This window comes from Homo sapiens, chromosome 11 (assembly GCF_000001405.40).
Source record: "Homo sapiens chromosome 11, GRCh38.p14 Primary Assembly".
Taxonomy (NCBI): Eukaryota; Metazoa; Chordata; class Mammalia; order Primates; family Hominidae; genus Homo; species Homo sapiens.
Window position 1 is genome coordinate 20,493,759 of NC_000011.10, and position 24,782 is coordinate 20,518,540.

The following is a 24,782-nucleotide window of genomic DNA, read 5'->3' on the forward strand; positions in this document are numbered from 1 at the left end:
GTTTTTACTTACAACATCTTTTCCAGGAAAAATATTGAGTTTAAGAGGTATTTAGTCTCTGAAATGGTTTATCATTTGCCATGTCTTAAGAGACAGTAATGAGTTATTATATTATGTAATTCATTTAGTAAGCATTTATATTTCTTTTTTTAAAAAACAGGCAATTGCTGGCTACTTTGATATATATTTTGAGAAGAATTGCCACAACAGGGTAAGTATCATGAATTATCTCATAAGAATTAATTATTACAGAAGTACATTATATTTTATTTTGTGCCCCAAGGTGTTTAATCATAAGCATTTTGCTGCTGTAAGCAATTGGGGCTTGTGTTTGATGTCGTAGATTAATGTACCATGATATTAAAAATCTTGTACTTCATCAAATACCTTTGAACTTTACCAATTCAGGTCGTGTTCTCTACGGGCCCTCAGAGCACCAAAACACACTGGAAACAAACAGTATTTCTACTGGAAAAACCATTTTCAGTTAAAGCAGGTGAGAAAGAATAGTAGGGGGGAAGTATCTTATTCATTCTGAAGTAAATGATATTCATTCATTTTACAGCCACTTTTTATGTGCACACTATATTTGTTTTTTGAGACGGAGTCTCGCTGTCTCACCCAGGCTGGAGAACAGTGATCTCGGCTCACTGCAACCTCCATCCCCTGGGTTCAAGCAGTTCTCCTGCCTCAGCCTCCCAAGTACTTGGGATTACAGGCACACACCACCACACCCAGCTAATGTTTGTATTTTTAGTAGAGATGGGGTTTCACCATGTTGGTCCCCAACTCCTGACCTCAAGTGATCCACCTGCCTCGGCCCCCCCAAAGTGCTGGGATTGCAGGTGTGAGCCACTGCGCCTGGCCTGCACAATATATTTGAAGCAATATAACAGATGTTAAGAAAAGATATTCTTAGAGCTTACCATCTACATAAATTTTAGATGGCATATCATTTAATTAAAGACATAATTTAAGAAAAATTTTTAAGTCTAATTTCTGCCAACTAAAATAAATAAGACTACCTGGCTCTTAAAGTATCACAAAATAATTCAGAAAACTTTCGGCAATAATTAGTATTTAATAAGTTACAAATATAACTAAAAATATTTTCTTTCTCCAAGTGACTGAAGAGAAATATTACCAATAAAATAAAAGTTAAAGACAATTTCATTCAGTAGTTATTGTAGGCCAGGCACAGTGGCTTATGCCTGTAATAAGCCACTTTGGGAGGCTGAGGCAGGAGGATAACTTGAGGCCAGTTTTGGGTTTTGTTTTTTCTTTTTTGAGACGGAGTTCCACTCTTGTTGCCCAGACTGGAGTGCAGTGGCACCATCTCAGCTCACTGCAACCTCCACCTCCTGGGTTCAAGCAATTCTCCTGCCTCAGTCTCCCAAGTAGCTGGCACCACCACGCCCAGCTAATTTTTGTATTTTTAGTAGAGATGGGGTTTCACCACGTTGGCTAGGCTGGTCTCAAACTCCTGACCTCAGACGATCTGCCCATCTCGGCCTTCCAAAGTGCTGGGATTACAGACATGAGCCACCGCACCCAGCCGAGGCCAGTTTAAACCAGCCCAAGCAACATAGCAAGACCCTATCTCTACAAAACAATAAAAATTATCTGGGCATAGTGACAAAAGCCTGTAGTCTTAGCTGCTTGGAGGCTGAGGCAGGAGGCTTGCTTGAGTCTGCAGGGAGCTATGATGATACCACTGCACTCCAGCCTGGGTGACACAGCAAGACCATGTCTCAAAAAAAGAGAAAAAGTTATTGCATTCAAAATATATTTGTCTTAGCATTCTCTCCACTGTCTCTTCCCTGCCTATCCAAATCTTATGCAGTATTCAAGGGCTAATCAGATTCTATTTTTTATTTTAAAAACTCATTGATTGTTCACTTACATTAGCACCTATAGTTCTGACATACCTATATATTTCACTCTAAAAGTTAGAATTTGATTATGGAATTTAAAAATTTAAACTGCTTACTACATATAAGTCTTCTTGTACCACCTTCTCTGAAAACCTCCTGAGAGTACAAAAGCTGAATGTATAACAAGCTGCAGTGAAAAAAATCCAGCTTCACCAATAACTCAGGAAAAGGCTAACTGAAACCATGAGATGCTGTTTCTTGTCCATCAATTGGGGGAAGAAAATACATAAAGTTTAACAATGTCAAGTGCTGGCAATAATGTAGCCAAATGGAACTTTCATTCCCTTTTGCTGGCTTTTAATTAGTAAAACTTTCGAGAACAGTTTGATACTATGAAGCTAAGTATAGATGTACCATCCCTACAGCTAAGCAATTTTTTCCTAGGCATGTATTCTAAACAGTCTCTCCCACAACATATGTAAAAATCTTTATAGTAGCATGTTTTATAGAAGGGAAAAATTGGAAATAACCTTAATTGTCCCTCAGCAGAAGATGGATAAATAAATGTGGTAGTTGCATAGCATAGTATCTGGATCAGGTAAGTTATGTATGTATGTTTCTATCAAAAACAACATTGAAGCCGGGCATGGTGGCGCACACCTATAGTCCCTGCTACTTAGGAGGCTGAGGCCAGAAGTTCCCTTGAGCCCAGGAGTCTGAGGCTGCAGTGAGCTGTGATTGAGCTGCTTTACTCCAGCTGGGGCGACATAGTGAGACCCTGTCTCTTGGGGAGTTAATGTAAGGGAGGCAACATTGAGCAAAAAAGAAAATTGCAGAATGAGTCTGACAAGATACCATTTATGTGAACTTTTAAAACATGTAAGCAACCATACATACACATATCTAATACAAGTATGAAACAAGCAGCTCAGATTCAGCATAGTGGTTACCTCTGGATAGAAATAGGATTAGGGCAGGCTACAACTGGGGTGGGGGGTGGGGGTCAATGTCATATAAAAGACATATAAAGGAAAACTTTGTAAAAAATTGGAGGAACTCTGATAGATTTTACAAAGCTGAGTGGTGGGCTCTATATTACAGTTACCAGGTGGTTATCAATCTCTGTTTTAAATATTTCATAAATTCTATAGCTTCAGTTTCACTGTTGGTACATAAATTGAGTTTAATAGATGCAAGTAAATACCAGATTGAAGCAGCACCTTGTCATTTTCTCACTTTGAAGTTGCAAGTGATATGGAAATAAAACCTTGATGGTGTCATTTTCTCTGTCTGCAGAAAGCTTCAGCACAGCAAAAGTGAAATGAGGCAAACCCAAATGAGGTCCTTTAAGCCTCATTTTTGTTTTTCTGTAGCTCTGGTATTTGGATTGATGTTTGGAAACTTGAAAATGTTGCTTTTTTTTCTTCATTGTAGCCATTTTGTCATCTTAATACTAGAATTTTAAAGGCAGTACTAGTTCATGTTTTAATCGTGAGGGAGACTTAAGATAGCATTTGAGTTTGATTCTCAAAATTTTCTCCTACTTCATTACGAGAAAATATTGTTTGATGACTAGTGAAGTTTTAAAATCCTAACTATTCTTTACCCAGTAATCCTTAGAGTAACTGGTTTGTGCTTTGCTCTTAGGTATTTATAGAATATCGTGAAGGAGGTGTGTGATGCAAATGTTGCCTGCTGGCACCACCTGTGTTTCTTTTACTACTGTGGTGTATGCATTTGTATCTAAATAGTAAGACCAATGTATCACAAAATATTAGAATCCCCTAAGAGAGTACAAGCTGAAGAAAGATTTTAAAAGGAAATTTTACAGTTGGAAAAATAGTCATTTCTTAGTTATGGGAGTATAAAGAAAGGATCATGTAAGTGTTAACACTTTTTGTTGTTCTGAATCCTGCTAAGCCTTTGATGTTAGCCTTGATTAACAGATGCTGGGAAGTTGCAGAGCAGAGTACTGAAGAGGGTAAGCTCATCAGAAAACAAGCTCAAAAAGATCTATAGGAAGACTCCCGGAGTTTTACGCAAGTAATAAGATGTGTATATGTAGGATTAAATGCACAAGGTCAGGCAAAGTAGTTGGAGCAAATGTGTACCAAGGAGTTCTCAGTTCACACAGGGCTGCAAGGGGTTCACGTTTCTAGCTTAAGGCTGTCTAGATCCTCCTTAACAAATCTTAAAAACAAGCCTTGAAGGGAAAAGAACTAAGCTGCAAGTAACTTAGTAGCCACAAAGGAAAACAAAATGGATACATTCAACCAAACAATGGGTGCAGGAAAATGTCTGATAGGAACAGACCCAGAAGTGATGAAATTAGCAGACAAGCATGTTGAAAAAAATGTTATAACTATGCTTATGTGAACATAGCGAAGAGAATATAAGAAGACATTTAAAGTGAAAATGTCATTTGATGGAATTAATGGCAGAAGAAAAGATCAGTGAACTTGAATACATAGCAATAAAATGTATCCAAAATAAAGCAAGGAGAGAAGAAACATATTTAAAATAAAAATGAACATATCCACAGTAGCTTATGGGGAAATACCAAGCACTCTAGCCTAGTCCTTGGAAGAAGCTGAGGGAGGAATAGGGTAAGGTGAGGCAATGCAACAGGAAGTATATTTGATACAAGCTACACATCGAAGAAACTCAATTAACCCGAAGAAGGATAAGCTCAAAACACCAAAACATGCCAAACTAACAGTGATAACTTTTTAAAATTTTAACATAAGCCAGAGTAAAATGAAACATCATGTAGAGAAGAACAAAGAAATAACCTTAGAATATTCATCAAAAACTGGCCGGGCGTGATTGCTCATGCCTGTAATCCTAGCACTTTGAGAGGCCGAGGCAGGCAGATTGCCTGAGCTCAGGAGTTCGAGACAGGCCTGGGCAACATGGCGAAATCCCATCTCTACTCAAAATACAAAAAATTAGCTGGACGTGGTAGCACGCACCTGTAATCCCGGCTATTCGGGAGGCCGAGGCACAAGAATTGTTTCAACCCAGGAGGCAGAGGTTGCAGTGAGCTGAGATTGCACCACTGCATTCCAGCCTGGGCAACAGAGCAAGACTCTGTCTAGAAGGAAAAAAAAGAATATTCATCAAAAACTGTGTAGGAAAGATGATTAATTGAATGACATTTTGAAGTATTGAAACTGGCAACCTAGATTCTGCATCTACAAGAAATATGTTCTTTAATGAAACTAAATGAAGACTTTTTCAGGAGAAAAATGCTGAACAAATTTATTTTCAGCAGACTGGAAATATAAGACATGTATTAAAGTAAGTTCAAGAGGAAACAAAATGTCACCAAATGGAAACTTGGATCTTAACAAAGCAGTGGAAAATGCCAGAAATGGTAAATGTGTGATCACATTAAAAAGCTTTATTTTTTCATTTCTTAATTTCTTAAATGATCATTGACTAAAGCAAAATAATGTTTTTAGGCTTAAAACATATGGAGAAGTAAAATATATGGCAATGATAACCAAGGAAATTAATGATAAAATAGAAATATTTAATGTATTGTAAAGTTTTTACACTGTATGTGAAGCAGTTAAGTATGTACATTGTAAACCCTAAAGCAACAGCTAATGAATTTAAAATTAAACCACAAACTATAGCTAATAATTTACTGGTGGAGACAGAATGGAATCCTGAAAAAAGTACCCAATTCAAAAGAAGATAGGGGCCAGGCGTGGTGGTTCATGCCTGTAATCCCAGCACATTGGGAGGCCAAGGCAGCAGGATCGCTGAGGCCAAGAGTTTGAGACCAGCCTGGGGAACAAAGCAAGACCCTGTCTCTAAAGAAAAAAAATTTTTTTTAATTAGCCAAGTGTGGTGGCACATAACTGTAGTCTGAGCTACACAGGAGGCTGAGGCAGGAGGATTGCTTAAGCCCAGGAGGTCCAGGCTGTGGTGAGCTATGATTGCATTACTATACTTCAGCCTGGGTGCAGAGCAAGGTCCTATTTCTAAAAAAAAATTAAATTTTTTTAAAGAAGAAGATGGGGAAAAGGACACAAACAGGTGAACAAATAGAAAACAAATGGTGAGATGATAGACTTAAATTCACGCTTAAATAGACTGATAATTACATTAAACATAAAGGATCTGGAAAATGCCAATTAAAAGGCAGAAATAGACTGAATAAAACTAAATGCTGCCTCCAGGAAGCACACTTTAAATATAAAGGCACTGAAATTCCGGTCCCAGGTAATGTGATAACAGCACATTCTATCCAATTTTTCCCGCCAAATGTAGCTATAAAACCAGAGTATATGGAGCAGCCATCAAGATCTCTGAAAAGTAATAGCAAATAATTGGGAGGAGAAGACCGGAATTCTAAGTACCAGCAAACTTGTGGTAAATTTATGTTTTCTTCCAATATCCCCCAGCCTGGAATCCAGATAGCCTGAAACCTAGGCAGGGATCAGCACAGACAGCGAGAGCTCCTGGAGGAGCAATGAATGATTGAACTTGTGATTTAAAAAACAATACCATTTACAGCAGCATCAAGAAAAATTAAAACCTTAGGAATAAATTTAACAAAATATATGCAAAACTTGTATATTTAAAACTATAGAACATTGCTCAGAGAAATTAAAGAAAACTTAAATAATGGAGAGATATACTCTGAATTGGAACACTTAATACTGTTACAGTGTTACTTCTTCATAGAAGAATTTCCTTTATTAATTCAGTGCAATCTCAGTCAAAATCTCAGTTTTGTAGAAATTAATGGGCTAATTCTAAAAGTTATATAGAAATCAAAAGCCTAGAATAACCAAAATAATTGAGAAAGAACTACATTGGAATCTTTATGCTGTGTTATTTCTAAACTTACCAAAAGGTTATATTAATCTAGGCAGTATAGTAGTGGTGTTTATTGTAGCCATGTAAGTCAGTATAACAAATAATCCAGAAATAGACCTGCTCTTGTATAATTAAATTTTTACAAAGGGGCAGTGTTGATTAATGGGGAAAGGGTGATCTTTTGAAATGGTGCTAGAACAAGTAAATATTTGTTTGAGAAAATCATTCTTCACACCATATCCAAAAACTAACATACATAAAAACTAAGTGGATCATAGGTACAAATCTAAAAGCTTAGACTGTAAAACTTCTGGAAGAAATAATATTTGAGACTTTGGAGTGGTTTATGAAACTAAGATAGTGGCAACATTCGAACACATTTTATGTAAGTAACACCGTAAAGTTAGTTTTAAACTTCTCACTGGACAGTCAATATCTTCAGGATAAAATACAAACTCCTATGTCCCTTTGCAGTCTGACTCTGGTTTTTCATCATTTCCAACCCCATCCTTTCACAACCCCAGGTAAGCTCATGTACTCCAGTTGTACAGATTGCTCATTTTTAAGCTAACTTTTATTTTTCTTGCTTTTGTCCAAGATGTTTTTCTACCTAGAAGGTTGTTTTGACCTCTTTCACTTGATAAATTCCAATTTACCCTTCATGACATAGCTAATTTCTGTAAAATTTAAATGTCTTCAGAGCTAATTGTTCCCTTTCTTGATTCCCCAGATAAATTCATATACACATTTGTTACAACATCTTAGTGTACTGGAGTTCTAATAGAAGTTCAACATCTTAGTGTGCCTCCCTCATTCCTTCTTGATGTGATGTAGTATTTGACATACTGTGCTGAATAAATGAATAAGTACAATAATATATATTGTCATTGAAATCCAATTTTCTCCATCACCTTGGGTAACACTATGCCAAGGTCATCTAGTGTCCATATTTGGATGGCCAATTTTGCCAACTCTGGTGTTACCAGAAATTTCATCATACTATTGCACTTGAGCAGGTTAATATTCAAACTTACCTTGGTGTGGCTGAAAAAGAGTTCTCTATAGTTATATTGAAACTAAAAGTAGCTTTTGACCCAATGTACTATAAGATTTTTAGATAAAAATAAATGAAGCTATGAGTCTAGTTTGGAAAAATTACTGTATGTAAAGCTTATTTTAGTGTCCAGAAGGTAATATGACAAGATAAGTAAAATATTGTAAATGGAACTATAGAGTTATTTTGCCTAGATGAGGACACTTAAAGTTTGAATTCAGGGTGGGTTTTCCCTTTACAATTCATGTACAGTTTTATTGTACAAACTTTTATTGTAAGTAAATATGGCAGTACTTTAAAATTCAAATCTTTTTAATGTGATTTGGCTTTGAAAATATAAAATCAGGCTATTTCTCTTTATTTATCCATACAGTACATAGTAAGCTTTTATATGATAGATAATCTGGGATTTTTTTCTTTCATTTTTAAACTCTAAGCTTTGACAACAATTAATAATGATTTGTTGTGTTTTTCTTTCCTTTTTCTGGGGAAATGAAGTTTCATTGCTCCGGAAGAAATTAATTCTAAAAAATACACTGTAACAATTAAAATGAAGTCAATTTTGTTCTTGAACTACGGCACTGCTTTGTGATATACTAACAGCCGTCTGCTGATGATAAAAAACAAGTCCATGCGGCTCAGCTCCAGAGTGTTCCTTCCAGCTCTCACCACAGTGCACACACTTAACAACATCAGTCATTTTATATCTATTTGACACTGATTAATTACTCTGATTCATTCTGGTATTATAGCCACTGCCTTGGCACTTTAGTTAGGTCTGAACAATTGAAGGGAGATCAGCAGTGTGAATTATGTATTTATTACTGTGACCCTTCATGCTACTTAATTAACTTAAATGATTGTGTGTGCACCCTCATCTTTGAAATATGATTATGGAAAAGATTTACCTGTATTTCATTTTAAGAAATGAAAATCATGGTTATCAGCATCAGCTTATATATATGACATTATGTTAATTTTTCAGCTGCTATATTGATGCTTAGCATTTTTTCTTTTGTGAAAAATTAACAAATATCCATTACTAATTCATTTTGACTGGGGTTTTTTATTTCTAAACTGAGGAATGCATAGAACTCTTATAGGTACATCCTTTGATCCTGAAATGAAGATGATAACCAGATTTATAAGCACTATGGAACATTTCTATTTTGACTTGCACTAAGGATTGAATAGGACTTCTATAAACAAGACAGCTTACATATTTTTAACACTCAAAAGGCAATGTAAATGAAAGAGCAGCAACCATCAGAACAAATGTACAAAAATGAAATATTTACTAGCAATACCTCATATGCTTCAATGAGAAAAGAAGTAAGGTAAATGCACCAGATTTTTTAGATGGTAGTTAAATAAATAGTACTTATCTCCTCTGATTTGAAATACAAATCAGAGCAATCACGTTTTGGTTGTTGTTTTTCATTTACTCTTTTGTTGATGAAGATGGCAGGAATGTAACACTGGAATATATTTCATACCTTTTATGAAGGAATTATACTTCTGATAATCCATCCTAAAGAATCAATTCAAAATTCAGACTTAAAAAATACTTGTTACACAAAGACACTGCTTTAATTTGCTTTTCTTTCTTTAAACTATCTTGCTTTATAGAATTTTTTTTCATTTTTTATAGTCACATCTGTCAACCTTTTGCTTTTGGTGTCTGGCTTTGGTTTCATCCTTTAAAAGATTATATTACTACTTTTGTACAATGTATTGAATCCTTTCCTCAGTGACTTAAAATGCTCCACTTACTATGTACTGAGTCTTCATAATTGATCTTATTTCTCTCATTTGTCTGTGTTTATTCCTAGGCACCACATTTTTAAACAAATAATTTACATATAATCAAAATTCACACATTTTGATTGTACAGCTCATTGAGTTTTGAAAATTACATATACCACTGTGGAAATATAGATTATTTCCATCACTCCAAAAAGTTTCTTCTGCAATTCCCTGTATGGTCAGTCCCCAACCGTGATTCCCAGACCAAGACAGTCACTGATATGCTTTGTCATTATATGTTAGTATTACCTTTTTAGAATTTTTATCAATGGAATTATACAGCATGTACTCTAGCTTTCTTGGCATTTTTTTTTTTTGAGATTCTTCTATCATTAGGTTGTTCCTTTTTATTGCCAAGTAATATTCCTTTGGCTATGCCACAGTTTACTTAGGTATTCACCTGCTGCTAGACTTTTGTATTGCTTTCAGTTAGGGGCCATTAAGAATAAAGTTGCTATGAATATTCATGTAAAAGTCTTGGTGCAGACAGATGTTTTCATTTCTCTTGGGTAAGTACCTAGAAGTGGAATTACTGGGTCTTATGGTAAGTGTATATTTAACTTTATAAGAAACTGGCAAATTTTTTAAAAATGACTATGCTATCTAACATCCCTAGGGCTAACACCATTGTGAATTCAGTTGTTCCACATCATTTTTAACACTTATAAAAAAGATGCAGTATTTTAAGCCGTTTTGAGTATGTAGTTATAGCTGTGCTTGTAGTTTTCATTTGCCTGATGTGATGTTGGGCATTGTTTCATATGTGTATTGGCCATTTTTATATCTTCTTGTGAGATTTCTGCTCAGATATTTTGCTTGATTTCAAATTGGGTGGTCATCTAATTGAGTTAAATTTAAAAGTTAATAATAGTTCATCTTTTCCCAAATGTATATTCACTTGCTCCATCATCATTTCTTAAAAAGACTATCCTTTTCCGATTTAATCGCCTTGGCTCCCTTGTCAAAAATTAATTGACCATATGCATATAGATCTACTTCTGAGCTCTCATTTTCCCCCAGGGATCTGTATGTCTGTCCTTGTGCCTTTAAGACAGTCTTTATAAGATTGAAAAAGAACAAAATGGCAAGATTTACACAAACAGTTGTTTTGGCTATTCTAGGTCCTTTATATTGCCATATAAATTTTAAAATCAGCTCATTAATTTCTGGCCTAAGAAAGCCTGTTAGGATTTTGACTGGGATTTTGTTAAATCAATAGATTAGGGAAAATTGACATCTTAACAACATTGAGTCTTTCACTCACGAGAGAGTGGGTCTCTCCATTTATGTGGACCATCTTTAAAGTTGTTTTGTAGTTTATGTAAGTCAGACATATATTGTTACATTTATCTCAAGTATTGTATGTGTGTGTGTGTGTGTGTGAGAGAGAGAGAGAGAGAGAGAGAGAGAGAGAGAGAGAGCGAGAGCGACTGAGACTCGGTCTGTCGCCCAGGCTGGAGTGCAGTGGCATGATCTCTGCTTACTGCAACTGCCACCTCCTGGGTTCAGGCCATCCTTGTGCCTCAGCCTCCCAAGTAACTGAGACTACAGGTGTGCACCACATGCCTGGCTAATTTTTGTGTTTTTAGTAGAGACAGAGTTTTGCCAGGTTGGCCAGGCTGGTCTCGAATTCCTTGTCTCAAGTGATCCGCCCACCTTGGCCTCCCAAGGTGCTGGTATTACAGGCATGAGCCACCACACCCAGCCTTTATGCTTTTTTGAAGCTGTTGTTTGTAGTATTATATAAATTCTTCATTGCTAGTACGTAGAAATAGAATTTTTATACCTTGATCCTAAATCATAAGACCTTGCTTAAACTTCAATAAATAGTTCTAGTAGCCTTCTTTGCATATAGCTTCAGGATTTTCTATGTATAAAACCAGGTAGTATGCAAATGAAAACTTTAATTCCCCCTCCCCCAGTCTGTATCCTTTTTCCCTCCACACTTTAATGTCCTGACTAGGACATCTAATAGAATACTTACTTTATGTTGGGTCTCTGGAGGTCATTTTGTTATTTTTGAATCTCAAGTGTCCATTATCTGTCTTTTCATATGTGAACTACTTTATACCAGCAACTAAATTAAGTAATTTGTATAAGACATACTGCTTGTAAGTAAAAAGGAACTAACAAGCCACTGTGTTGTAAAAATCAAGTTTGTTGATTCAGTGTTGGCAATTCAATAACAGTAAGTTAAACCCAATAACCAAGTTGGCAATTACTATTCTCTGTCATGTATTTACAAAAACATTGTCAGTTTATCATAATGTGGCTGTTCGTTCCCAGTTTTGGTGTCAATAAATAACTTAAATAGAAGTTTTTAAATGTTGATTTAAAAAGAAGCAAATAAAATAGCCAAAATAGAAAAGTCAAAATAGGAAAATCTTAAATGTGTTCAATATACTAATGATCTTTTATTTCTTCCTTAGGTTAATGCCTTAGATAAGAAAACGTGTATCATTGTTCATTAGTTATTATAGAATAATAGTTACATCAACTTACATATCAATTGTGTTTATAAACAAGTAAATATTTTTACCAAAAAAAAAAAACAAAACCCACGGGGCGGTAAAATTTAGGTCTATTTCTTATTCATTATAGTATATTTAAAGCTATAATCATCATTTTTTTAGATAGAGATAGGGAAGCACCAGAGTATAGTTGAGGAACTTGGGTTCTGGAATCAAACTGCCTTGCTGAAAATCCTAGTTCTTTCACTAGCTGGCAGATGACCTTGGGCAAATTACTTACCTTTTCTGAACTTCATCTGTGAGTAAGGAAAATGCGCTTACCTCATAGCAATATTTTGTGACCATTAAGTGAGATAAATCATGTAAAGACCTTAGAGTAGAGCCTAGCACAAAGTAAGTGTTGAATAAATATAAGCATAAATTATCTAATGATTAACCTGAACTCCATAAAGTTTGTAGAACTATCTGACTGGTAATCTTTATTATGTCCACTATTGGTGAACATGTCATATGAGATAGTTTTATATCATTTTCTTAATATAGAGGAATAGGTCAGATATAAAAGCTAAAGCCAAATATACACATTAACATATATACGTACACAAAAATTGTTATATTTTGTTGAATGGATTGCACCTTGGGCCACATTATTTCTTCTATTATTTAACTCCTTAATTATGTGTTAAACTGTGAGTCTCACCTTTTTTGCAAAGATGTAGAGAAGGTATCAGTAATGGAATCTTTATATTCTGAAAATAAATATAACAGGTGGTTATGTTTTACTTGTGTTATTTCACTACCATCTTGAAAAGCATTCAGATAATTTTCCTTGAATATGGGGAATTTGTATTTTTTTAAATACGATATTCATTCAGTACTTCAATAGTTTTATGTAGATTTCCTTGGTCATTATATGGAGCCTCATTGTGTCCATGCAGATGCTAAAGCTATTCCTGACACTGTTTGGTGTTATCTTAATATTATTTAAGCAAAGAATGGTGATCAACTACAACTTAGCAATTTGTTACTTTTTAAACAGCTCTTTAAAATAAATGAAAAATTAAATGAGAAGTATTTATAATTAGAAAAGTACATAGATAAAAATTTGGAACCTACAGAATTTAGGAAATCAGCCTTTGCACAGGTAAGTAATTTTTGTGTGTTCACTGTTTCACATGGGTACATTGTTTCCCTTTTACAGCACCAGTGCATCAATGGCCAATGGCTTTGTCATGTGCCTCTACATTTTCCCAGCTATAATTTTCAGTTCCTCAAAATGCCATTCCTGAAGGTTCTGTGTATGTGTTTTCCTTAAATACCATTACATGTACATCCCTTAAGCCTGGTTCTCCATGACTTCAGCCCTGGCATTGGGTAATTCATTAATTCTTGTGAAACCTTGCCTTTAACTGCCTTCCAACCATCCCCAGTGCTCACCTCCAGCACACTTTAGACACATGCCTATTGTGTAATTGTTAGTATAGCTTTTTTCTTCACCCTGATCACAAACTCTTTGAGGGCAGGGACCATATCTTTTTTCTAGATGCCCAGAACCCACCATAGGGCCTCATATTTAGAAGTTCAGTAAAATGCTTCCATTGACCCTTTATGACCACAATAGTTTTACTCACTTTCACAAGGATTTGACACTGTGGTATGTAGTTAGTTCTCGCTTCATTCAAAAATTAATGAAACAGGGCTGGGCGCAGTGGCTTACGCCTGTAATCCCAGCACTTTGGGAGGCTGAGGTAGGTGAGCGCATCACCTGAGGTCAGGAGTTCTAGACCAGCCTGGCCAAAATGGCAAAACCTTGTCTCTACTAAAAATACAAAATTAGCAGGTCATGGTGGCGCATGCCTGTAATCCCAGCTACTTGGGAGGCTGAGGCAGGAGAAATCACTTGAACACGGGAGGCAGAGGTTGCAGTCAACTGGGATTGTACCACTGCACTCTAGCCTGGGCAACAGAGAGAGACTGTCTTAAAAAAAAAATTAATGAAACATAATGCTGCTCTAAAAAATGAATATTGGCTGGGCACAATGGCTCATTCCTGTATTCCCAGCACTTTGGGAGGCTGAGGCGGGTGGATCACCTGAGGTCAGGAGTTCGAGACCAGCCTGGCCAACATGGTGAAACCCCATCTCTACTAAAAATAAAAAATTAGCTGGGCATGGTGGCATGCGCCTGTAGTCCCAGCTATTCGGGAAGCTGAGGCAGGAAAATCTCTTGAACCCAGGAGGCGGAGGTTGCAGTGAGCCAAGCTTGCACCAGTGCACTCCAGCCTGGGAGAATGCAGTGAGCTGAGATCACACCACCGCACTCCAGCCTGGGTGACAGAGTGAGACTCCATCTTAAAAAAAAAAAAAAAAAAAAAGAATATTAACCTTAAATAAAGTTTAAAAAGTGGGAAAACATCACAATAAAAAGAAGTGCTAGTTATACATTGTTTACTTTTCTGCTACACTGTATTCCTTGAATTCTTAACAATTTTTGCCTTTGTTTTACAGGTGAAGCCTTGAAAGGAAAGGTCACAGTTCACAAGAATAAGAAAGATCCACGTTCTCTCACCGTGACCCTCACGTTGAATAATTCAACTCAAACTTATGGTCTCCAGTGAAACAGCCATAAAAGCACACTACCTTGTAGTTTTTAATGTGGGGGTAGAGTGGGTCAGCAGGAGGGAGCTGGTTTTATGTGAGCAGATGGATGGATGATGGACCCTTTCCTAATGAGCCTCCTCAATAAGAGAGAAGTTCTCATTGTGGGAATCTGACATAGTTCAGCTGAGGAAGAGAATCAGCTGATCCTCATGGTCTGCCACGTAATCATTTTCTTAGACGTTTGCTCCACCAGATTTAACCAAATGTAACTCCCACATTGAGTTTATCTATATTGAAAATCATTTACATTGGCCTATATTTGGAAGAGAGATAGTCTTTTGTTTTTAATAAGTTTCTTACTATAAATTTTAAACAAATTGGTTAGTTATTTGGATATTTTATTAAACTAGTAACACAGGTACTACACATTTTATTATGGACTCCTCTGAGGAGGAGTTTTTAATTGTATTTGCTAGAAAATCAGGATGTAATAAAGATTTGTATAAAAAAACTAAAATATGGAAAAGAGCTTCAGCCTTCATATACAAATCATATATGCAGACAGCCTAGTTGATTATCTAGCATACTTAGGGTTCTCATTTTGTAGTTTCTTCCCTCTTTGTGACTATTCCTTAGCCTTATAGATTTCTAGTACTGCCCAGGAAATCTAATTTCAATACATTTATCCTAGGTTTCATGAAAGTTTTTAAAGATTGGGATAAATATGTACTTATTTACTAACGTATTATCTTTTTCAAACCAGATTTATGTGCAAAGGTTAAACATGTAACTGTTACTAAGCAGTCTATAAAGTTGTCATTTACAATTACTGATTCAATTTGAAATGTAGAATAAAATTTTAATAAAATGTATCAACTTATAAAATATTTTAAAAATATTGATATTATAAAAGTTTTCAATAAAATATATCAAACAACATTATAAAATATTTCAACAGGGTATGGTAGCTCATACCTATAATCCCAGCATTTGGGAGGCCAAGGCAGGAAGATCACTTAAGCCCAGGAGTTTGAGAGCAGCCTAGGCAACACAGGTCTGTACAAAAAATTCTTTTAAAAAAATTAGCCAGGCATAGTGGTGCATGCCTGTAGTCCTAACTACTTGGGAAGCTGTGGTGAGCAGATTGCTTGAGTCCAGGAGTTGGAAACTACAGTAAGTCAAGATCGTGCCACTGCACTCCAGCCTGGGTAACAGAGAAAGACTCTGTCTCTAGAAAAGTTAATTAATTAAAAGTAAAAAACAGGGCCAGGCATGGTGGTTCATGCTTATAATCACAACACTTTGGGAGGCCAAGGCAGGAGGATTGTTTAAGGTCAGGAGTTCAAGGCCAGCCTGGGCAACATAGGGAGACTCCATCTTTACAAAAAATTAGCCAGGTGTGGCACACACCTGTAGTCCCGGCTACTCTGGAGGCTGAGGCAGGAGGATCCCTTGAGTCCAGGAGGTCAAGGCCACAATGAGATCACACCACTGCATTCCAGCCTGGGTGGCAGGGTTAGGCCTCATCATTCATTTATTCACTCATAAATAGATAAGTTTCAACATACTAAGGCCTTTTGTAAAATCAGAAGCATTTAAAACAAGTCTTAACAAAGGGATTATTTTTAAGAAAATAAGGCTTTTAAGGAGAGGCATTCCACATGCCTCTTTTAAGTTCAGCAGTTGGTTCTTTGTCAAAACAAGACATACACGAGGCAGCTTAGCATAGTGTTGACAAGCATGGAGCATAGTATTGAGAAGCATGATAGCTATGGAGTCAGTGCCTAGGTTCAAATCCTAGCTCCAGCTCTTACTTGCTGTATGATCTTAGTAGCTTTCCTTAACTTCTGTCTCCCTCCATGAACGTGCCAATTTATGAATTAATAAAGAATTTAGATCAGTACCTGGCACATAGAAAACTATTAGGTGATAGAATCATCATTATCCATTCAAGGACTCCCAAAGAATATATGGCACCTACATTAGATCAGTTTAAGAATTGTCACGTTCATCAGATAGTAATTATTGCCCTAGTACATGAATGCGTGAGAAAATTATGATGGGCATTAATATTTAAAGTGGCAAAATCTGTTTCAACAAGAAATTGTCTTTGGTCTCAGAAAACTGGCCTAGCAATGAGGAGGAAAAACCTCTTCAAATGTTGGTTTTAAGACCATAGTCTTTAGTCTTCCTTCACAAACATGATTCGCTTTCATTGGGCTAAACCAGTCAGCTTGTTTTCACTATGGATTTGAATTCAGACCATTACTAGAAATGTATGGTGCTGATAATACAGTTTAAACTACTTGCAATTTTGTCTTGAATGGCTTCCTACACAAATTTGAGGTTAGGGTGATAAATAAGGAGGCCAAAAAGAAGATTTAATGAATTTTTAAAGTAACCAAAAACTATCGGATTTTTTGTTTTCTCTCTCATTGTAAGTGCATATTAAATATTTCCTATTGTATAAACTTCTTAATTATTTCTCTTCAGAACTCTTGTTAGGTTTCCATCAGATTTGCACCTGGTGACACTTTATTCTCTTCAGGTTATTACTAGCCCAGCTGCAGTTAGTGGATCTTTGTTTGTTTCAATTAGCCTTCCAAGGCCAGGACATTCTTATTTGTGTACCCAAGCATTTTATGAGAACATAAGTGTCCAAATGTTAGCTCTTCAATTAGAATTTCCACCTTCAAATTGCTGTAAAAAATAAGTACTTTGTACCCCTTGACAATGATAAATACACTATGCTTTTATGTTGTGACAGATGGGCATCTATAGATACCAGTTTACTCTGTTTCAGGGATTTTATTTCCATTAAGAAAACACATTTTTCCTCTACCTTTCTTTGTGATATTGTGTATTGTAATGTGTGGGGCTCATCTCAATATGATGGTCATCTATAGCGAAACAGTGTGGTCTGAAGATAGCACTTCAGAAGGAATGTTCCAAGGAAACAGACCTCTCAAGTGTGTACAGAATGGTCCAATAAGTAGCCATAATGGCTATAGAGCACACTCCGTGATTAATCAGGCAGCTGTTTAACTTTGAAACAATCCCTGTTTGGGTTAGGGAGGAGTGAGAAGTCTGGTCCTACAGAGTTTTTTGTTGTTGTTTTTTAAATCACTTAATGTGGATTAATCAGTGTAGTCCACCTGTGTCCTTCAGCATTCTACCTCACTTTTTATGATGATGTAAAATATAACGTGTGATATTATGGACTTGAGATCAGTCCATAGGAGTCTTACCAGACATGCTCTCAAGCTTTCAACAGGAGAAATTAAAACAATATGATATGCCACTTTGCTTTTAGTGACTGTGCCAAAAATCATAATTTAAGCTGCTGGGCTGTAACATGTACCCAAAATATCGAGGTATTCAGATTTTTCTGTGTAGCAGAATAACAAAAACATGTCAGGTTTGCAACACTGTCATAGAGTTTCAGCCACACTTTAAATTATTTGCAAAAACAAATAGTATAAATAGTATAGCATAAAGTTTTTAAACTATTTCACTCCTTCGAGAGAAACTAACTTGTGGTGAAAGACCAGATAGGTGAGATACCCAAGGTCAAGCCCTGTCCAATGCAGGGTTAGCAAACTGCAGCCCCGGGGCCAAACCCACCTGCCCCCTGTTTTGGGAAATAAAATTTTATTGAACACAGCCACACTTAATTCATTTTTATACTATCTGTAGCTGCTTTTGTACTATCATGGCAGAGTTGAGTAACTGTGACAGACTGTGTGGCCCACAAGGCTGAAAATACTTAACCAGCTGTCCCTTTACAGAGAAAGTTTTCCAACTCCTGGCCCTGTAAGGCTTGTAGTGATAGCAAGGTACATATTTGCTCTTACAGCTGAGAGTGAGGTGATGATAATAGAGAAGTCAATTCTGAGTCAAACAAATTTAGGTAAGATTTATTATCTGAGGCCGGGCACAGTAGCTCACGCCTGTAGTCCCAGCAGTTTGGGAGGCCGAGGCGGGTGGATCGCCTGAGGTCAGTAGTTCGAGACCAGCCTGAACAACATGGTAAAACCCTGTCTCTACTAAAAATACAAAATTAGCTGGGTGTGGTGGCGCATGCCTGTAATCCCAGCTACTCAGGAGGCTGAGGCAGGAGAATGGCTTGAACCCGGGAGGCGGAGGTTGCAGTGAGCTGAGATCATGCCACTACACTCCAGCCTGGGCAACAAGAGCAAAACTCTGTCTAAAAAAATAAATAAATAATCTGTATAGAAAACCTACTCAGATGAAGTAATAAATTTGTTTTTAGTTGCAGCCAAGAAAGAACAGCTACCTTTTGGAGCAGAGATGACTAATGCCATATATAAAGTATTTCTTCATATAACTCATTAATGGTCATGGCAGAGAAGATATAAATGCACAACAGAACACATAGATTTTAAGAACTATTTTTTTTAATGTGGAGCTAAGCAACTGGATATATTACTCCATTTATGAACACAGGATTGATTAAACCTAAATTGCTAAAAAAGATACAGCATTTACATACATGAAACTGATGTTTTGAGTTGTAACAATTAGTGCCTTGTATAAAGGGAATTAGTAAAACTGAAACCTTGTAGCTGATTGTCAACTCCATTTTAAAAGTTTTAATTAGACCAGAAGAAATCTGCAAACAGAACTTTTGTTTGCTTGTGGTTTTGTTTTGAAATAGGGTCTCACTCTGTCACCCAGGCTGGAGTACAGTGGCGCTATCTCGGCCCACTGCATCCTTGACCTCCCAGGGCTCAGTTGATCCTCCCACCTCAGCCTCCCTAATAGCTGGGACTACAGGCACATGCCACCACACCTGGGTAATTTTTCTATTTTTTATAGAGATGGGGCTTCACCGCGTTGCCCAGGCTGGCCTCCAACTCCAAAGCTCAAGGGATCTGCCCACCTCAGCCTCCCAAAGTGCTGGGATTGCAGGTGTGAGCCAGCGCTCCCAGCCTAAACAGAACATTTTAAAGCTAGAGATGGTTGACCCCTGCCCTTGAGCTACAAAATAACCCAGCTAGTGAATGACTTCTGAGCCTTAAAGAAAGTAATTGCAGTGGTCTTCAAGATAGCTCTGGACCCAAAACTATCAACATTAGGAGAGACAGTTGGGGAACTCAGCAGTTTTAACAAGTCTTGGGATTCCTTAATGCCTTCCCTGCTTGGATGTCACCCAAGAACATGGCACTACTGTTGTAGTGATGCATGGGGCCATGGCAAGATATGTAAAGTGCCTGCACAGCTATCCACACACGCTTTGTTGGCTTGGAGGCTCGTCGGTCTTAAGTCTCTTCATGATTTTGAGTGTTTCGTTGCTATAAAGTTAGAGTAAACTTTTTCAAGAAGAATGATAGAAGAAACACTTCTAAAATATCTTAGTAATTCATGGACAGAAAACCAAACGCCGCATGTTCTCACTCATAGGTGGGAATTGAACAATGAGAACACTTGGACACAGGGTGGGGAACACCACACACCAGGGCCTGTCGTGGGGTGGGGGGTGGGGGGAGGGATAGCATTAGGAGATACACCTAATGTAAATTATGAGTTAATGGGTGCAGCACACCAACATGGCACATGTATACATATGTAACAAACCTACAGGTTGTGCACACGTACCCTAGAACTTAAAGTATAATAATAAAAAAAAAACTTAGTAATTCATTTGACCTTTCCAATAAAGTTTTCATCTATTGTCTCACCATCCTGGTTAATGTGGAGCTGTTCACATTGTTAGTTCTACAGTGTAGCTAAATGCAGACAAAAATGTTGCCACTTAGTTGTAATTAAAATGAAGATAATAGATAACAAAGGAGGCAATTAATTATAGCATAGTCATTTTATGGAATATTATGCATTCAAGAAAAATCAGTATCACGTCCTCAAGGCAGCATGGAAAAGCTCATGATAAAAAGATAAAGCAATATAAGGTTACACTGATTAAAAGAAAAAGCCTACACATGCTAAAATGCTGAAAGAAAAAAGTGTCAGTGATTGGATTATAAGTGGCTTTTTCCTCTAAACTTTCTGTAATGTTGTATAACTTTTGTAAGTTTTTAAAATATATTCTTAAACAAAACTGAGTAGCTGAAATCATTTTGCAAAGTGTTGATATAAGAAATGAACCCACCAGGCCACCGCATCAGCTTAGATGGAATGTGGAAGCCCAAGAATTCTGCACTCTGGCAAAACGCAACCCTCCATCTCTGCCGACAATCCCAGGTTGGAAAACATTGTTTGGAGACCATCAGGACTAATTTCATGATACCCTTTATTCCTATTAATGCCAATCACTCCAAGAAGCCCAGGTCTCACAGTTCATTCTGCATCCTCCATTTCTAATCTTCATGCAGTGCCAATATATCCCCATTTTCTAAATAAAATCCTGAGATCACTGCCAAGATCACTGCTTCCCCTGAAGCCTTCTAAAATGGGAGCTATCTTCTCGCACACCACTCATCGCCCTAGACTTGGCTGTAAGGTGGGAGACTTCTTGTTTTTGGTTGCCAATCATAGACCATTCTCCTTACTTCTACTGCTTTTACATCTTTAATCACCTGTCATCAAGACTGTTAACACCAACCACCTAACCTTGTCAGCATCATCACACCACCCCCAGGTCACTCACCTCATTCCTGTTTTCTTTCCATTGTTTTGCCTTTAATTTATATACAATAAATTGCACACATTTTAATTGCATACTATGATGAGTTTTGGCAAATGTATACGCCCTTGCAACTGTCACGTCTCTCACCTCCTTAAAAATGTTAGCCCCTAACTCACTGCCCACACTGCTCCTGCCTAATCAGAGTCAGTATCATCACATGGATGATCCTTTATTCCCTGACCTTTTGGTTCATTGGCCTCCTCCAGTGATCTTGCCTCCACCTGACCTCAGCTACTCACCCCTATGGTCATCCTCTAGAATTGGCCATAACCCAGAACTCCAACGCCAGCTGGATCTTAATTTTAAGTATCATTCTCACTACCTACTTTTTCAGCTCGCTCTCTTTAGTATCACAAAGCTTCGGGTACTGAGGCTGAGGCCAGCCACTGTCCCTGTGCCTCACACCCCACTCCCTTAATTACTCAGATGTTTTGTCAGCATTTCTCCCCTTTCCCCTGCATCATCACCGTTTCCCTCCACTGCTCCCCAGTTAGCATACAAATAGGCTACAGTTTCTCCTATCTTGACTCCACTTCTTTCCTGCTACTGCCACATTTCTAGTTTTCCCTTTACACTGAAAACCCTCAAAGAGTTGTCTGTGTTTACTGTTTTCTCTATTTCCATTGTTTCACCTATGATTTATATACAATAAGTTGCACACATTTTAATTGCATGAGTTTTGACAAATGTATACACCCTTGCAACCATCACCTCTATTAATATTTAGAACACTTCCTTCACACCAAAAAGTTTCCTTATTCAGCCTTGCTGCCAACATTTGTCCTCCCGTTCCTCCCCAGGCAAACACTAATCTGATTTCTATCGATGATAAATATGTTTTGCCTGTCTTAGAACTGCATCTAAATGGTGTCTTGGTCCATTTGTGCAGCTATAACAATACCACAGACTGGGTAATTTATAAAGAACAAATTCATCTTTCTTACAGTTTTGGAGTCTAGGAAGTCTGAGATCAAGGCACCAGCAGGTTTGGTTGTCTGGTGAGGGCTGCTCTCTGCTTCCATAATGGCACCTTGTTGTTGCATCCTCCCGAGGAACACTGTGTCCTCACACAGCAGAAGGGCAGCTGGGCACAGTGGCTCACTCCTATAATCCCAGAACTTTGGGGAGGCTGAGGCAGGAGGATCGCTTGAGCCCAGGAGTTCAAGACCAGCCCGGGCAACAAAGTGTGACCCCCCCCCCCGCCCTCCCGCTCTCTACAAAAAGAAAAAAAAATTAGCCAGGCATGGTGGCACACACCTGTGGTCCCAGCTACATGGGAAGCTGAGGCAGGAGGATGTGTTGAGCACAGTAGGTCAAGATTACATTGAGCCATGTTTGTGCCACAGCACTCCAGCCTGGGTGACAGAGTGGGACCCTATCTCAAAAGAAAAAAGAAGGCAGAAGGGCAAGAGGGCCACAAGGTGTCTGAAGCCCCTTTTATAAGGGCCTTAATCCAATTCAAGAGGGAGCAGCCTTCGTTGCCTAATCACTTCTTAAAGGCCCCACCTCTTATTACCATCTCATTGGCCATTAAGTTTCAACACCTGAGTTTTTGAGAGGTCCCATACAAACCACAGCAAATCGAATTATGCAGTGTATACTCTTGTTTCCAGCTTCATTCAGCATGTTTTTTGAGATTCACCATGTTATGTTTCAGTAGCCCATTCCCTTCTGTTACTCAATATTATTCTGTTATAAAAGGGATACCACTGATTTGTTTATCCATTCACCTGCTGGTGAACATGTGGGCTGTTTCCAGGTTTTGGCTGTTATGAATTAAGCTGCTATGAGCATTTGTGTACAAATCTTTCTTGAGCCCAACCTCACCAGGCCTTTACCTCCACCACCCCATTCAAACTACTCTTTTCAAGCTCACCAGTGAACTATGTTAATTCCAGTGACCAATTCTCAGCCCTAATTTTACTTGACTTACCAGCAGTATTTGATTCACTTCCTTCTTGAAACACTTTCCTTGCTGTTATGGATTGAATGTTTATATTCTTCCAAAATTCACTCAGGCATACCTCAGAGATACTGCAGGTTCAGTTCCAAACCACCACAGTAAAGCAAGTCACACACATTTTTTAGTTTCCCAGCGCATGTAAAAGTTATGTTCACACTATACCATTAAGTGTATGATAATTTGCATTATGTCTAAAAAAAGTACAGATCTTAACTTAAAATTACTTTATTGCTAAAAAATGCTGACATAGAGATACGAAGTAAGCACATGCTGTTGGAAAAATGGCACCAATAGACTTGCTCAATGCAGAGTTGCCACGAGCTCTCAATTCGTGTGTGTGTGTGTGTATATATATATATATATATATATATATATATATATATATATATATATATATGCAGTATCTTTGGAGTGCAATAAAGTGAAGCACAACACAACGAGGTATGCCTGTATGTTGAAATCCTCACCCTCAATGTGATGGTATTAGGAGGGGGACGGCCTTTGAGAAGCAATTAGGCCCGAAAGGTTGCACCCTCATGAATGAGATTAGTGTCCTTAAAGAGCTCTCTTGCCCTCTTGCTGCCAAGTGAAGATACAATGAGAAGTCAGTGGTCTACAACCTGAAAGAGGGCCCTAACCAGAACCCAACCATGCTGGCATCCTGATCTTGTACTTTCAGCCTCTAGATGGTGAGAAATAAATTTCTGTTGCTTATAAGCCACCCAGTGTAGAGTACTTTGTTGCAACAGCCTGAACTAAGACACTTGACTTCCCCTGCTCTCCTCCCTCCTCCTTGGCCACTCTTCAGTTTCCCTTGTTCTTCCTCATCTCCTCACCTTTAACATGTTGGCATCTTAGTCCTGGGATCTCTTTCCTGTCCCTCCCTTGGGGATTTCATCCAGTCTTGCGGCTTTAAATACCTAGATACTGATGACTTCTAGAGGTATTTGTCTACCCATCTATCTTCCAGGGCAGTCTTCTATGTATAACTGTGTACATGGCATCTCTCCTTGGATGTCTAAAGGGCATCTCAAACTTTGTATAGTCAAAGCCAGATTTCCAATCTTCCCCCAAACCCTGTCCCTGCTGTCTTCCTCCATATCACTGAATGGACTCCAACTTTCAGTAGCTGAGGCCAGAAATCGTAAAGTCATCCTTGACTTCTTTCTCTCACACCATATCCAAACTGGTTAACAAGTCTAGGATCTACCTTCAAAATTCATCCAGAACCAGAGTATTTCCCACTACCTATACTAGTGCCACCCTGGTCCAAACCATCATTGTCTTCCACCTAGATCACTGATTCTCAAAATCATGCACAGACTCTGTGCACAAAATAATACACAGACTCTGGCAGTTCCCAAAAACCCTTGCTGGCAGTCAGGAAAGAAAAACTATTTTTGGCATAGTACTAACACATTGTTTGCCTTTTTCACTGTATCAACATTGGCACTGATGGTGCAACAGCAATGGTAGGTAAACTTGCTGGCCCCTTAGCACAGATCAAGGCACCA

At 37.7% G+C, this 24,782-nt stretch overlaps 1 protein-coding gene across 5 annotated transcripts in view; it reads left to right on the forward strand.

The window, feature by feature from the left end:
* PRMT3 (protein arginine methyltransferase 3) overlaps positions 1 to 15,580 on the forward strand; it is a 121,623-nt gene extending 106,043 nt beyond the window's left edge. For all 5 annotated transcript variants that reach the window (NM_005788.4, NM_001145167.2, NM_001145166.2 and 2 more), the window contains 3 exons: positions 161 to 211; positions 409 to 496; positions 14,546 to 15,580. In NM_005788.4, the coding sequence (NP_005779.1) occupies positions 161 to 211; positions 409 to 496; positions 14,546 to 14,655 (249 nt within the window). In that variant the 3' untranslated portion in view covers positions 14,656 to 15,580. The remainder of the gene's footprint in view (positions 1 to 160; positions 212 to 408; positions 497 to 14,545) is intronic.
* The last annotated feature ends 9,202 nt before the right edge of the window (positions 15,581 to 24,782 follow it).